Source organism: Homo sapiens, chromosome 16, assembly GCF_000001405.40.
Source record: "Homo sapiens chromosome 16, GRCh38.p14 Primary Assembly".
Taxonomy (NCBI): Eukaryota; Metazoa; Chordata; class Mammalia; order Primates; family Hominidae; genus Homo; species Homo sapiens.
The window spans coordinates 5,786,983-5,803,731 of NC_000016.10; the positions used below are offsets into that span (position 1 = coordinate 5,786,983).

Here is a 16,749-nt window from a genome sequence, read left to right on the forward strand (position 1 = left end):
AAGATTAACTGGGCGCGGTGGCAGATGCCTGTAATCTCAGCTCCTTGGGAGGCTGAGGCAGGAGAATTGCTTAAACAGGAGGTGGAGGTTGCAGTGTGCTGAGATTGCGCCACTGCATTCCAGCCTGGGAAACAGAGTGAGATACTGTCTCCCAAAAAAATAATAACACAGGAGGAGCTCATAGCATTTCTTTTTGTGAAGAAGACTTTGTAATGACTCCACAGGGCCCTTTCACTGGGAGAAAAGGGAACAGGTGAGCACACCAAGGACACTGTTTAGGATTGTGCTGCTTGGGGATCTGTTCATCATAAGCATCAGAGGTGTCCTCCAGTGCACACAGAAGAGCCTCACAGTGAATTAGACAGAAGACCAATGATGTTTCCTGGCAATGAAGTGAATAAAGACTTTATGCCCTAGGACATCCATTGTAAGCCTCTCTACAAACTGGTCATCTGAATAATAAAGTCACTGTAGTTTGCAGTGGGCTTACCTCATGCTTAGCCATGAGGGGATGACACTGTATAAACCTGACCCCATACTCAAGGACAGTATGGTTTAAGTGGGTAGGATGGGATACCCCACAGACAAAACACATACAGTGATAAGTAAGTATATGTGAATGCTGAAGAGGAGGAATGTGAATGAGAGCTTTGTAGAAAAGGTGACAAAGAGCTGGATCTCGCAGAGAGGGTTTGGCAGCATGGAGGGAACAGGAAGGCGAGCCCAGGAGAGGGTGACACCACCAGCCAAGGGGGTCAAGAAGTAATGAGTTTGGAACAGTCAAGCCTCCATGAGGATCATTTCCCAAGGTGTTCCTGTAAAGGGCACACGTTGACAAGAGGTAGCAAACAAAGTTGGAAAGGAAGAATGCATTGCAATTGCAGTGTTCCAAGTCAACTAAGGAACTTAGATGTTATGTGGCAGGTCATTCACTGAAGATTTGGGCAGAGACAAGAGAGAGGCAGAGCTGGGCTCCAGACTGTTCAATTCTGAGTTTCTGCATCCCTTCCAGCGGGGGCAGGAAATGAAGCGACCTTGTTTACACCTATAGAATGGGGTAAATATAAATGATTGACTTGTAGGGGTGTTGAAAAGATTGTCTGTGAGCCCTTCTTCCTAGGCGGAGATTCGACTGCTGAAAACATCATACCTGGAGAGTGACATCTGGCCATGCTGGAGGTTGCTCCCAGGACTGCATCCTGAATATCTGCTGTTGGCCGGTAGTTTATTTACCCTGGATGGAGAGAAGAAATGACAGCATATGTCACCCTTTCCATTTAGAACCTCATTTTTAAATTGTATTAACTGCTGTCCTTATTGGAGACATTTAGCGCAACAAAAGCGTCTTTTGAAGGAACACTTGTGGCTGGGCGTGGTGGCTCACACCTGTAATCCCAGCACATCGGGAGGTCGAGCTGGGGGGATCACCTGATCTCAGGAGTTTGAGATCAGCCTGGCCAATGTGGTGAAACACTGTCTCTACCAAAAATACAAAATTTAGCTGGGCATGGTGGCAGGTGCCTGAAGTCCCAGCTAGTTGGGAGGCTGAGGCAGGAGCATTGCTTGAACCCGGGAGGCAGAGTTTGCAGTGAGCCGGGATCGTGCCACTGCACTCCAGCCTGGGTGACAGAGCGAGACTTAGTCTCAATAAATAAATGATAAATAAACAAACTTGTGCTCTTTCAAAAGAGCAAAGATAGGCCTTATTTAGCAAACTGTGAGCTCCTCAGCGAGTGTAAGACACACACATACACATACACATTCACACACACACACAGCATCCCGAGAGTGACGTTGTCAGTGACAGGCACATGCTTTTCTACCCACCTCCCAAGTTATTAGGAAAATTATAAGTTAAAAATCTAAGAGGCCCCAAAAGCAATTCAGACCTGTGAAAAGCCCCCATCCTGTTGCACCCCATATGTAAGGCTTTCCTGTGTCTCAGGAAGATAGAAGCCTCTTTCAAGACATTTTCTCCTGCCTACCCTATGTGGGAGTCAATGCTCTTCCACTTCCAGCTGATTCTGATGGGATAGACAAGCAGTCCAAACTAGTGAAAAGTTTGAATGTCCTGGAGTCCTTGTGCACAAACCCTTCCCTCTCTCTCCCTCTTCCTCTCTCTCACACAGCACCAAGTAAGAAGGCCTGTCTGTGTAAGGAGGATTCATCAAAATCTCTAATTAAATACATGGCAGCTGGTGAATTGAAGCATTTGTCTTAGCTCTGCCATCCTATAATACTTTATAATCCTGGGAGCCCAAAGTATGAATTAATTATAATTTCTGAAAACCCAGGGAGCCAGGCGCATCAGGGAGGGAGGTGTGGTGAAGGAGAGGCTGTGTGTGGTGACAGTAAATGCTTCTGAGAAAGGGACAGAGACATCCTTGTGTTGACTTACAAGGGGCCACTTTGGGAGGTCTACAAGCCCGCATATTTGTGTATATTTATATGAGTGTGTGTGTATGAGAGTGTGCATGGGCATGTATGGGTGTGTATGTATTTGGAGTCAAGTTTTAAGATGTTACTATAGGGCATTTAACGTGTTAGTTTCATCATCATCATCGTCATCATCATCACTAGTACTGGCACTAGTATTTTACCAGCTACTGAGAGCTTATTATTGTTCTCTTTTGGTTAAGCTTTTTCCCCAGTCGTATCTTGTTCATGACTCATGACTATGCATTATTTATACAGTTAGTATCGCACTTCTCTTGATAAGAAGATAGAAGCTCAAAAATGTTAAATAATCTGCCATAAGTTCCCAGGCTCACAAGTGTCTAAGCCAGTGCTCAAGTCCTAATCTGATCTCAAGATGTCTCCTTCTAACCGCCAGGCCAACCTTCCTGAATTCACCATACACCATGACTAGGTACGCAGATTATAGACTTGGATAAGAGATAATTTCTACCTTAAGGAAGTGAGCCTGCAGTGTATGGGCTGTGCTAGCTGCGGCAATGGTGGCTGCTATAACAGATAGACCTCTACACCTCACGGGCTTCATGCAGGAAAAGTTTATTTCTCTCCCATGTGATGTGTGACCATGACTGTGGGTGTGGAGCTGGCACCCAACCCTTGTGGTTATTCGGGACTCCAGGCTGCTACCACTCAGCAGGCCTTCCTCCATCTTCAGCATTTGACCTCCAAGGGAAAAGAGTGCGAGGGTCTCACATGGAGAATTTGGACAGGCTGGACCTGAAAGTGACAAATAGCCCTTCTTCCACGCCCACATCATCCACCAAAGGTCAGTTCCATGGCCATGCCTTGTGGCCTGTGAGCTGGGAAGTGGAGCCCAGTTGTGTAACCAGGAAGAATACAAGAATGACACGTATATGGGAAAGGCTTGCCAGAGGGAGAAACCCCTGCATTTTCCATTGTCCAAGGTGCAGAGACCGTACAGAGAAGGATGGGGCCGTAGGAATGGCTTTGGCTTTGTTTGTGCCTCCTTCCACTCCAGAAACAGGAGCTCAAAGGAAGAAAAAATTGCTGCAATACAACTGTTGATGAAGATGCAAGGAAAACAATATGCTGAAAAAAAAAAAAGGACTCAGAATGTTCAGAAATGTAGCACATGTGGTAAAATGGAATAGGGACCTTGATGCTTACAGGGTTTGGGGTTTGATCCTGGGCCTACCAGGCAAAAAACATTTCTTATCCTCCCTAAGCCTCGTCTCCCTCCTGGATGAAGACAACAATACCTACTCCACAGGGGCTGCCATGGAAATGAAAGAGATGAGAGTGAGTGTGGAATGCCTGGTGCTGGGTGCGTGCTCTGCATCACTTCGTCTTCCTCATTTGGCCTTACAGGACCATTCCAGAGTCACTGCTGCTGCTCTTGTGGCCCTCTGCCCGTTTTGGGGATGTAGATGGTGGGTCTTTATTTTTTTTTTTTTTGTTTTTTTTTTTTGAGACATGATTTCACTCTGTTGCTCAGGCTGGAGTGCAGTGGTGTGATTTCGGCACACTGCAACCTCTGCTTTCTGGGTTCAAGTGATTCTTTTGCTTCAACTTCCCAAGTAGCTGGGATTACAGGTGCATACCACCACACCTGGCAAATTTTTATATTTGTAGTAGAGATGGAGTTTCACCATGTTGACCAGGCCGGTCTCAGCTCCTGGCCTCAAGTGATCCGCCTGCGTTGGTCTCCTAAAGTGCTGGGATTACAGGCGTGAGCCACAGTGCCTGGCTTTTTTATTTTAATTTGTCACGCATGACTCAGCTAGATCATTAAATAGCACATACTTAAGTAAATATTCACTAAACTGTAGCCAACTATCTTTTGTATTTTCTATCGCACTAAAAAATGTAGCTCTAACTGATAAAAAGATCAATGCAATGCTATTAATAATTATATCATCTTAACAGACATCATTTGTTGAGTGATGACTCACCAGGAGTCATTATTTTAAGGCCTTTACATGCAATCGCTTTTTAATTCTTACAGCAATCCTAGGATCTGGGTACTAATATTATCCCCCTGGGATCTTGGCCAGGAGGGCTGGGTAATGGTCTATCGTGTTCATGCCTCTGTTCTCACTGCCTGGCACAGTAACTGACAGGCAGGCAGCACACAAAAGTCTGTGTGGGTGAATGGGTGACTCTCCAGGTTCCAGGAACAAGGGGTCTTAAGTTACTTGACTTCCCCAAGGTCACACTATAGCAAGTATTAGAGCTGAATGCAAATTCACATCTGGCTAACCACAGACTGCATTCTAGAGAGTAGAAAAAAATTAGCACACACACACAAAAACCCTCACATGTTGGACATCATGTATTCAAAAGTAAGCAATGCAATAAGCATATGACATGTTTGATCTGAATATCCTTTGCTTGGTTTCCACTTAAGGCCACTTTGCTCTCTGGAAATAAAGAGGTGGAGAAAATGGCAATTGTCACTGTCATCCTTATGGAGGTTTTGGGAAGAACCAGCAAGATGACTGAGGCCACCCTCCAGACTTCTTGGCGTTGCCTCTGGGGCTTGGAGGTCCTTTGTACACCAGAGACTTTGAGGATGACTTTGGCAGGGCGCTGGCTCTCCCCCGCAACCCAGGCACCCTGCAGAAGTTGTGTCTTTGCCTATAAAGCAAGCAAATTGGATGGGATGATTTCTGATTCCCTTAAGAGCTAGTTATCGTGGATAAGTGATTTTAAAGCCCGGGACCCCAGTCTAAGGGGCTGATAAAAGAGAACCTGGGACAAGGCCAATTTTCAAGTGATGTGTGTATGCTGCTGGCACTGAATGGCTTCTCTGTAAATGGTCAGTTCTGTTGTTATTCCTGTTCCAGCCCTCTGTAATCCCTTTCTAAGTTCTCTTAGATACACTAGAGAGACAACATCACAGCTACATATACAGTTGACTCCTGCACAACATGAGTGTTAGGGGCACCTTAGCCCAGTTGAAAAATCCATGTATAACTTGTGACTCTACAAAAACTTACCTACTAATAGCCTACCATTGGCTGGAAGCCTTAGTGATAACATAAACACTCACTGAACGCAAATGTTCTATGTAATATATACTGTATTCTTATGATAAGGTAAGGTAGAGAAAAGAAAATGGCATTAAGAATATCATAAATATGGCTGGGTGCAGTGGCTCATGCCTGTAATCCCAGCACTTTGGGAGGCTGAGGTGGGTGGATCACCTGAGGTCAGGAGTTTGAGACCAGCCTGGCCAACGTGCTGAAACCCCGTCTCTACTAAAAATACAAAAACTAGCCGGGCATGGTGGCATGTGCCTGTCATCCCAGCTACTCAGGAGGCTGAGGCAGGAGAATCACTTGCACCCTGGAGGTGGAGGTTGCAGTGAGGTGAGATCGTGCCACTGCACTCCAGCCTGGGCAACAAGAGCGAGACTCCATCTCAAAAAAAAAATCATGAAGATAAGAAATAGGTTTACTATTCATTAAGTAGAAGTGGATTATTTTAAAGGTCTTCATTCTCATATTCTTTGTGTTGGGTAGGCTGAGTAGGAGGAGGAAGAGAAAGGGTTTATCTTGCTGTCTCTGGAGTGGAGGAAGTGGAAGAAAATCTACATAGAAATGAACCCCTGCAGTTCAAACCCACGTTGTGTTGTTCAAGGGTCAAATGTACTTCCCGTTTTCCAGACCTCAGGCTATGTCCAGGTGTCGGTAGGGAACCCACATGTCTCCATGACTCCCTTTCTCTCTGGCTGGTCTCACTTTTCTCTAAACTTGCACTTCAGCCTCTGAGAAGTGCTTAGAGAGGCCAGGAGCCCAGCCCTGCTGTGCTGACCGGCTCCTTTTGCCCACCGTGGGCAGCCCTGGCTGCCTCTGCTTCTCCCCTGGCCCGCCTCCGAAACTCAGCTTAACCGTGTTTGTTTCTGTCTTTTCTTGTTTTGTCAACATGCCATTGAAAAGGAAATGCAAACCTGAGCCTTGATTAGAAATCTCCCTTGGTGAAGATTTACCCTGATTTTCAATTCAGCCCGTTGGCATGGGTGCTGGGGGACCGGCTTCATGCCGCTAAGAGGTCCAGGAAGCTGATGTGGCACTGGCCAGAGTCCTGAATCAGAGGTGTTGGCACAAGCCATGTTGCCTTCCTGAGAAGAGGTGGGCGTCCCTCCCTCTTCAGCCCCCAGGCCCCTCTCTTCACCTCCTCATCTTACCCACTACTCAAGAGCAGTGCTCACAAAGCAGTGAGGAACCCGGTACTTGCAGGGGATGCTGGAGGGCCCAGACTGGTCACCCCATTGGGAGACTTTCCAGGCTGGGAGGGAGCCTGGATCTATGTACATGTGCCTTCGTGTGTGTGTGTGCATGCATGCATGTGTGTATGTGCATGTGCATGTGTGTGTGAGTGTGCATTGCATGCGTGCATGTGCAAGTGTTCATTTGCACATACTCACAAATGTACTGGGAGACTGGAATCCAGCACGTTCTCCCTGATCCTCACATTATAAACCTGTGTGATCTTGGGTGAGCCATTTAAGCTCTCTGTGCTTCATTTTTTGGGAGAGTTAATATGTAAAATCATGAAACTGCAAGGTGTTGGACAAACCTCTTAACTGATCTGAACTTCACTTTTTTGCATTTCTGTGGTCATTTGTGGTTAAGGGAATGAGCATTTGGAGCCTCGACCTTGACATTTAATTCCAGTACATCTGTGGTGTTGGGCATATGATTTAATCTCTTGGGGCTTTTTCTTTATCCGTAAAGTGAGCACAGTAACAATCTCTAAGTCATGGGGTTATACTGAGCATTGCATGGAAACGTACAGAAAACACTTACAAAATGGTCCTTCTTCCCCTTTCTTTTTCCTTCTCTTCCTCCTCTTTGTTTCCCTCCTTCACCTTCCCTTCCATCTTCACCTTCACCTCCTTTTTTTCCTCATCCTTTACTAATTCCTCGTCCTCTTCCATCATTATTATCATCATTGCCTTCATCTCATTATGAGGCCAAATTCAATTATGTACCTGAAAGCACTGTGTGATCTATAAAATATTACAAACACCAAAATGTCTGTGATACCAGAGGCACACTCACCTTATGTGAAACTCAATGCCAGCGTGCGTGTGTGTGTGTGTGTGTGGTGTGTGCAGCCTTTCAGATTTGCTCATTGGAGAGGTATAGCTGTCGGGCAGGTCAGATGTTGTGTGTCAAGGCATGTGGTGAGCAAAATGAGTTTGCCTGTGGATGGGGGATGCAGCTGGAGGAGTCGGGCGGCCCAGCAGGAGGGGAGCCAAGAAGAACACCTTAATGATGGCTTAAGAAACTTACAAATAAAGCTGAGGTTCCTAATGTTTAATTTCAAGTGACTGAACATTAACATTTAATTAACTCCTGACTGCTAAACCAATATTAAATCTAGGCAGAGGCTAGTGGCATCTCTTATGTATTAGCCGCCAAGAGGCTGCAATCCTACTATGGCGACATTCGGCAAGATGGAAGCTACCCCATCACATGGGATCCCAGTCTACACACTGTCTGTGGAATTCCCCAGGCACACACCCACTCTCATCTCACTGGGTCTTGAGAAGGAGTCACATTCAAGCCAACATGCCTTGGCTCAAAATCTAACTTTTCTTCTCCCCAGTTGTATGACTTTGGCCAAGCTGCTTAAATTATTCCATCTCAGTTTCTCATGTGGAGAATGGGAAAAGAAATACCTACCTTATTATATTGTTTCTGTAGATCAGTAGCGATGGATCTGAAACACCTCACGAAAGGCCTAACCCATAAATGTCAAGAAATGATTCTACGTCAGTTTCATATCCCCCCTCTCCCTATTACTATGCCCAGTGACACTTGGTTCCTGTTAAGGACCAAGATCTGTTCCACCTTATTGTCTTCCACTTCTTCCTTCTTCTTTTTTTTTTTCTTGAAACAAGGTCTTACTCTGTTACCCTGGCTGGAGTGCAGTGGCGAGATCATGGCTCATTGCTGTGTCAATCTTCTGGGCTCAAGTGATCCTCCTGCCTCAGCCTCCCGAGTAGTGGGACCACAGGCACCTACCACCGTGCGTGGCTAAATTTTTAATTTTTTGTGGAGATGGGGTATTGCTATGGTTGTGAATTCCTGGGCTCAAACAATCCTCCTGCCTTGGCCTCCCAAAGTGCTAGGATTACAGACATGAACCACTGTGCCTAGCCTGGTCTTCAATATGTTGTTTCCTTGACCTGGAATTCTTTCCCCTCCTTACCCCTGACCACTCTTCTTCCAAATCCTAACTCAAATATCATTTCTTCAAGAAGCCTTCTCTGGCCTCCTAAATAGATCCATTTCCCCCATTATATACATTCATATATCCCTCCTAACTTTTGACTTTAGACCTGGAAGATAAACAATCCCATTCTCCCCTTCTGTTTACATTCATTGGGGAAGGATTTGCTTTTTTTCACTGATTTGCAAAGCCATTAGAGCCTCACAGTCTCTGTTGCATTTTCTAATGACTTAGTTCTTTTGTTTGCTCTACTGGAGATAGGTCGACAACACTCACCAGTTGCATCAATAGTCCCCACCTTTTCAAAGACTTTGGCAGTACAGTTGGGTTTTCCCATTTGCATAGGGCTGTGCAATGCATTGTAGATTTCCATAGCAGTTGAATCTAGTGCATTTTCAGCTTGTAGATTGGGGGAAGGGAGGACTTCTGTCACTTTGTGAAGGCATGGTTGAATTTTGGTGAGCTGTTTTGGAAGGTCATAAGCAGCTCAAGACTGGGCTCAGGAATAGTAAAACCCTGATGTCAAGTGGATCCACCCACTTCTGAGGCTGGGTTCTGAAATGCACAGATCTGGATCTGGAAGGAAGTGGATGTGGCCCACATGGGTGAAATCTGGAGCATGGAAGAAGGAAACATGTTATGGGAAAGAGGCAGTTTTTGCCAAGCTATGGCCACGAGCAAGGAATCAGGAATGAGTTGCTCAATCCAGGATCTGGACCAAATATATCCACAGTGATCAAGTATCCAGGGTTTGTGATATGATCAGTGGCCTCAAAAGCATCACATGGGGTCAGAGAGAGGAACAGGAGTGGTGGTGGCATCATAGATGACATTTCCAAGATGGGATGGAATGAGCTGGATCCCAGGGATGAAGCAGGGCTGTATCAGATGGTGTCTCCACACCCTGATGATGATGATGATGGTGACAGCAATAGCAGCAGACCTTTCATGAGCACTAATTAGGCTCCACTTACGGTGCTGACTGTTTACTTGTCAATGCCCATTTGATACTCTTACCCCATTTTACGGATGAAGACACTGAGGCACAGAGAGGACAAGTAATTTGCCTGTGGTCATCCAGCTAGAAGGAGACAATGCTAAGATTCAACCCCAGCTCTGTTTGCTTCCAAACGTGGTGTTCTCTAACTCTGATATATTTCCCCCTTGTTTCCAGGTTAACCTCTATATGGCCCTCACATCATTCATCAATTCATTGTTTGTTCATCGATTATTTACTCATGTGACAATATTTATTGAGGATCTACTTTGTGCCAAGCACTGCAGAAGGTCTCTGGCCTTTTAGAGTTTATATTCCTGTGCAGGAGAACTACAGAAAATTACATAAAATAACTGCAAAAGATGACAGTCTAATAAGTGCCATAAAGAAAATTAAATGGAATTTTGTGATCAAGACTGGTAGATGGGGATGGTGAGGTCATCTTTGTATAGGGAGGTCAGGGAGGGACTCTACAGTGGTGACATTGACACTGAGACCTGAAGGATAAAAGGAACCAGCCATGCTAGATGCCCATAGAGGAAGTTCTGATTTCCTATCACTATTCTTTACCTTTTGGATCTTTGAAGGTAAACTACATAGACTGGATTTGCATCAATGGTGTAGACTTTCAGGACATCTTTGGGGTAGGCAGTTTTAGCCTAAGTGTGTGTCCACACCCACTTCTTGGGACCCTCCACTTCAAGGACCGTCTTGGAACATCTCCATTGGGTGCTTCTGAGAAGTCACTCCCTACTTGATTTTCTGCTCTTCCTGTAACTGAAGGTGTGTTTCCTTGTTGTTTTGGCTGTATCTGGCTTCCAGACCCTTAGACAGATGGCTCCCCAGAGTGACTCAGCTCTGAGTAGCTGGGGACCAATTATGAAGTTGACCCTTATTTTATTCACTTCTGAGCCCAGCCCTAAGCTGATGCAGACAATCCTACATCCAGTTAAGTGTTATTTGCTTGAAATATTTGAAAGAGCCAGCTTGGCCCATCTTCAAATATTTTGTTAGCTAATCAAAGCCAGATTGTGGTCAGAGGCCATATCTAAATTTATTAGGAAAATTAATAGACCATTTAGATTTTATTGGAATTAAGCTAAAATACGATAAGCAGCCACACAGCAGATAGTGATTAATTATTACACTGACCTGAGTGATGGGCTCATAATGAAATATTGACTTATAGGTAAGTCATGAGGCCTTAGAACAAGCAGGACAGGCTCTGGAAGGATGTCCGCACTCCATCTGCTTGAGGTTAATTGGATGGGACACCATAGAAGAGATGCTCAGTAAATATGCATCATTTATTCTTTCAAACAGTATTTGTATGCACCTACTGTGTGCGAAGCCCTGGGAATATATAAAGCAGACAGCCTGAGTTTGAATATTGGTTTCTGTACTTAATAGCTATGTGTCTTTGGGCATGTTACTTAACCTTTCTGAATTTCCATTTCCTCATTTGAAAGCCAGGGATAAAAATGACTAACAGGGATAAAAATGACTAATTGTAAGAAGTCATGGAAATGATATGTGTAAAAAGTGATTGGACATAGCACATAGATGTTTTTATGAGTATTATTGTCATTAGTAATATTCTAAATGAGACCCATTTTTGGCCTCACATAATTCAAACAACACATTACGATACAGCTGATCTTCCAAGCAGTGTCGATTTCTCCCTATTGTGTGCTTGGCAAATATTAGTTAGGGTCAGAAAAGGCTTTGTTGAGAAGATGTTTGAGCTTTGTTCTAAAGGATGAAAGGGTTTATTTCCCAGGTGGACTGGGAGGATATGGGACTTCCAGGTAGATGGCTCAGGATAGGAAAGGACATGCAGACTTGAAACAACCTGGCAAGTGGTAGAACTTTAAACAGTTGGGTATTACAGGGCAGAGGGCATCTGCGCTAAATGATTGTTAGGGCAACAGGAACTGGACGTTGGGTCTTGTGGTCTGGATCACTCACCTATATGCCTGTCTCCATGAAATATATGTGTGTCAAATGGGACTTATGAGAAGGGACCTTCTGTTTACTTTTTAAAACATTTGCTACTCGTTCCACTTTGTTCGTTGTGGCAGAAGGAAAATCTTAATTAAGTCATGCCAGAGTCAAAAATTATGAACCAGGGGTCTGAGCTGTGAGGTTCCTCCCAGGTGCTTGCCTTTTATGGGCACTACATAAACCCCTCCAGCGTCAGCTTGGGTGTAGCTCAGAGGTACGGACTACTTGCTGCCTGCGTCAGACAGGCCCAATTCAGCTCCAGTTCTGCCACTTGACTCCTGCAAGATCTCGGGTGAGCCACTCTGAAACTCAGATCCTTCCTCTGCAAAAGGGCTTATTAGTCTGTTTTCATGCTGCTAATGAAGACATACCTGAGACTGGGTAATTTGTAAAGAAAAAGAGTTTTCATGGACTCACAGTTGCACATGGCTGGGGAGGCCTCACAATCATGGTGGCAGGTGAAAGGCACATCTTACATGGCAGCAGACAAGAGATAATGAAATCCAAGCAGAAAGGGAAACCCCTTATAAAACCATCAGATCTCGTGAGACTTATTCATTACCATAAGTACAGTATGGGGGAAACTGCCCCCATGACTCATTTATCTCCCACTGGGTTCCTCCCACAACACATGGGAATTATGGGAGCTACAAGTAAGATGAGATTTGGGTGGGGACATAGCCAAACCATATCAAGGGAGGTTTGTAAAAGCAACCTCATTGGTCTGTGGAGAAGATGACTGAAAAAAGTCGAACAATATACAGATGTATGGTCCCCGAATTATGATGGTTTGAGTTATAATTTTTCAACTATATAATGATATGGAAGCAACATACATTCAGTAGAAACTGTACTTTGAGTACCTACACAACCATTCTGTTTTTTTCACTTTCAGTACAGTATCCAGTTGGTTACAGGAGATATTCAACATGTTATTATAAAATAGGCTTTGTGTTAGGTGATTTTTGTCCAACTGTAGGCTCATGTGTTCTGAGTGTGTTCAAGGTAGGCTGGGCCAAGCTGTGATGTTCGGTTGGTGAGGCATATTGAATCCATTTTTGACTTAACAATATTTTCAACATACAAGGGGTTTTTTGGGATGTTACCCCATTGTAAATTGAGGAGCTTCTGAATAGCTCTTTGTACAAAGTTGGGTGCCTCTACCTATTCAACAAATGTTAGTTCCCAGAATATAGTGTGGTATGTTTGATTTTTTAAAATTAATTTAAAAAAAATAAGTGGGAGAATGTTGCTATATATGGGTGTTCTGTTTCATATACTAAATATATATCTGTCTGTCCTCAGAAAATGAATATGCATGTCTCCCAAGATATATTTGCATGTTCCATTTCTCCTATTAAGTGTATATTTCCCTATTTTTTATATATATATGTATAAGTATATACATATACATGTCCTACTTATAGATGGAGGGGAGAGAAATATGTATATAGGGAGAAGTAGGTACAGAAAACTGTAGAACAAGCCAGACTGTTCCAGAAAAAGTAGGAAATATGCTAAGGGTAAGGGAAGGGGAAGTATACACCCAAGGGCCACAGGTGATGCTCTGGCATGTCCAGTCCAATGGTGTGTAGCCTAATTTTGGATTAGCAGAGGAGACTGGACCCCATAGTCCATTTCGTTACTCATGCATAACCATGCACATTATGATGTGACATTAACAAGGCAAAAGGAAGTCAAGAGCAAACCAGGGTGGGACATCCTGTGACCAGGACTTGATGGACATGGGTGAAGGGAGGGGCAGGTTGTGAACAGGCTCTGCACCCCCAGCACGCCCTTGAGCTTAGGCCAGGGTGTGAGTAGACGGAGACTCCTCTGCTGGGCAATGGCAAGGGCTCTCCAGCACAAATAAGGGAGAGTTGGCTGGGACAGATGACCAAGGATGTGTGGAATTGGAGGACACGGGATGGTGAAATGGATGTGACCCAGTGACTCAGGGACACTTTTAGTGGCCTATTACCTAGTTTCACGGTGACACTGGGGATAAATTGGAGGAGGAATAAAGTGTTGTCCCTGCAGTCATTATTACAGAGAGGAATTTCTGTCCTCAGTTGCTTCTCAGATAGCTAACAGGGCCGCTCGGAAACCTAAGCAAGGAAGACGTCCTAGTGCCATTGGATCCCTTTTCTGGGGCAAATCACAGACAAGCCTCTCTGTTTGAATGGCTGGGAGGGCACGGGAGGCGGTCCTAGGGCAAAAATGAGTTAATAGTTTAAAACTTCCCTGCCACATGAGGACAGATGGAATCTGCCTTCTTGTCCCTGATACAGACCCATGGGAGGCTCCAAGAGGCAGGCTTAAGTGCAAGAGCAAGACAGAGAGTGGGATCTTCTACCCCAGGAGCCCTCTGATCACAGGATTGCCACTTTTGATGAAGACACAGTTGAGTTAAAAATAGGCCCCGCCCAGAGTGTGTACGGAAGTGGAGCTGGAAGTTCCTGGGCGCATGTGTGACAGAAATGCAGTGGGCCATTTTAATTAGATCCCTTTACCAGAACTCCTGACCTTCTATGTAGCACATTAATGTATTTTACTAATTATAAATGCAATTAAAAAGTACTGAAATAAAATTAGGCTGATCTATCTAATTTACATTAAGCACTTTCAAATTATGCAGATTTTAAAGTCTCTATCTGCCTCTCTCTCCCTCCCTCTCTCTTTTTTTTTTTTTTCAATTTGAGTTTCGGGGTAAAATTGTCTGCATTAAAACAGCTGGAAAACAACCTTGTAGGAAAACAAATTTCTTTTCTGTGATTATTCTCAGTGTGCGAGTTAATTTTTGAGGCAGTAATATACTTAGCAGTCATCGGGCAGTTACTTGAAAAGCAGAGACATATGTGTCTCGACACAGGCGCGGGAGCTGGGGTGCATGCACGCGGGGATGAGTGGGGTTTGGTTACTTTGGGGAATGAGGTTGAAAGGCTAACTAGGCACACACAAAAAAATACCAATGTGATCCGTGGTTGCTAAAGAGTTGAGATTTACAAAGAGCAAGATGTAATGGCAGGCACAATGTGCCTTTGATAGAGATGAACCATCTGGTGGGTTTATCCAACAACATAGGTTTTTTGTGTTGTTTGTTTGTTTTATTCCTATGCTGACAGGCACAGAGAGTGAACCGGGTGCCAAAATTATCGCCTAGCATCATTAAAAATCAGAATGTTCAGTTTTGCTGGTTATGGAAGTTGTGTATGCAGGGCAGCTCTATATTAGGTGAGGAAATGGAGCATAAAGGAAAGCGAATTCCCCTCTCCCCCGGAGGGTTGGACGTGTGTGCTTTTCTGCTGGGGCCATCACTCTGCCTGGGTCTGCTGGAGGCTGCATTCGCTGGAGGAAGAGGAGACCTTGACGGGGCCTCTTTATAGATTAAATCTGATTCGCAGGTTCCTTGGAAGCAGACGTGTAATAAGCTGTTCTCTGGAGTAGTGTATAAGCTCCTTAAGACGTTCCTGGTGAGGTTTAACTCCCCTTACTCCATGCCCTCAATTTTATTTGCTGCCCAAACTTTGCGCTTTAAGCTCCCCATCAAAAGGAAGCCTGAAATAATTCCTCAGATTGAAGCTGTTCGTTTGGAAAGTCCTTTTCTTCCTCTTCTCCCCCTTTAGATACAAAAGGGGTGTTTCCACTTGCAGCCAGGGAACCAACTTTGCCTCCTGTGACCTGGAAGCCAAGATGCGTGTGAGTCTTCCCAAAGGATGGCTGGACTGTAAAACATGCAAACAAGGGTGGGATAGCTGCTGAGGTCCCTTGTATTCTGAGATCTACAGGCTCAGGGGCCCTGGAAAGCTTAAAGTGATTCTTGGCCCTTCCCTCATCCCATCCTCTGCCATCACAGACTCTCAGAGGGAATGCTCAGAGGTGGAACTGCTTGTTAACCTACGGGGAGAAAGTTTTCAGATCTTTCTCTTGAAGAGGAGCATGTCTGGATCCATGTGGCAAGCAGATGCTAACTTAGAGCTAGACCCTGCAGATTTCTTCCCTTTATAGGGAAGAACACGATAGCTTGTTTTGTTCTGATATTTTACTAACTAAAGCCCTTCTGGATTACAGACAAAAACTCCATCACTGCCACCAATAAACTAAGTTTATGTATTCACTTATATATTGGTTCATTTGTTCATCCATCTATACACATATGAATGTATGAATCTCGCCCCCATCTGTCCACCTATCCAACCATTCATTCATTAATCATACAGTTATTTCCTCACCTCACTGACATTTACTGAGCATTTACTCCATTTCAGGCAATATGCTTGTCTTGAACTTTACCAGGATGTATGGACACAGCCCCTTGAGTTCTGAGAATTCATAGTTTAGAGAAGGAGACAGACATGTACTTGGGTAATAATTTGATCCTGGAAGAATGGATGCAGTTGCAGACCATCTTTAGCACCCAGACAATGGCAGGAATGGGTTGGATGGGACTATAGTCAGAGGGTCTCTCCATCCGCTGTATCCCTCCCCCCATCCAAGAAACAACAGCAAAATAAAACCTTACCTCATAGCCCTTTGTTTTCCATACCTCAGTACCCCGTGAGTATGTCAGCATCAGGCCCATCCTTTTGGCCTGAGCTTGGTTCGTCTCTGACAAACACAGGCTCTAAGAGTTCCTTTGTACTATTTTATGGTCCTCTTTGTACTGGCTTTGGGAGGGATATTGGAAGAGTGGTAGAGAGATAACAGGTGCTTTGGAAAAACAAAACTTGTGGATTCTGATCCCAGTTCCCACACTGACCAGATCCGGGATCTTTAGCAGGTTATTTAACATGGCCCAGCTTCTGTTTCCTCATCCATTTTTAATAACGGTGCTACTTTCTTTGTGAGATTGCAGTAAGTATTAAAATGAAATCATGACCGTGAAGCATATGTATGGTGCCTGTCATTCATTCTCTCACTCCACAAAGCACACTTTGTTGGGCATTCATTAAGAACTTGATGAAATAGGGATGAATTAATAAAGTGCTAGAATTCTACAAAGAGAATATTGAGCATCTGCTGTATTTAAGGTACCATACTAGGCACAGAGTGGGTATATCAGAGTGAAT

The 16,749-nt window shown here is 44.4% G+C and overlaps 1 protein-coding gene across 4 annotated transcripts in view, besides 1 other annotated feature; it reads left to right on the plus strand.

Moving 5' to 3' along the window:
* The window catches only part of RBFOX1 (RNA binding fox-1 homolog 1), a 2,473,620-nt gene that overhangs the window by 547,262 nt on the left and 1,909,609 nt on the right, over positions 1 to 16,749 (plus strand). The gene's annotated exons all lie outside the window — the stretch shown is intronic.
* Positions 8,680 to 9,207: an enhancer, noted in NCBI's record as "NANOG-H3K27ac hESC enhancer chr16:5845663-5846190 (GRCh37/hg19 assembly coordinates)". NCBI's record gives its function as "activates a minimal SCP1, AML or CMV promoter by ChIP-STARR-seq in naive H9 embryonic stem cells {active_cell/tissue: H9 hESC(naive)}" and the evidence as "EXISTENCE:reporter gene assay evidence [ECO:0000049][PMID:30033119]".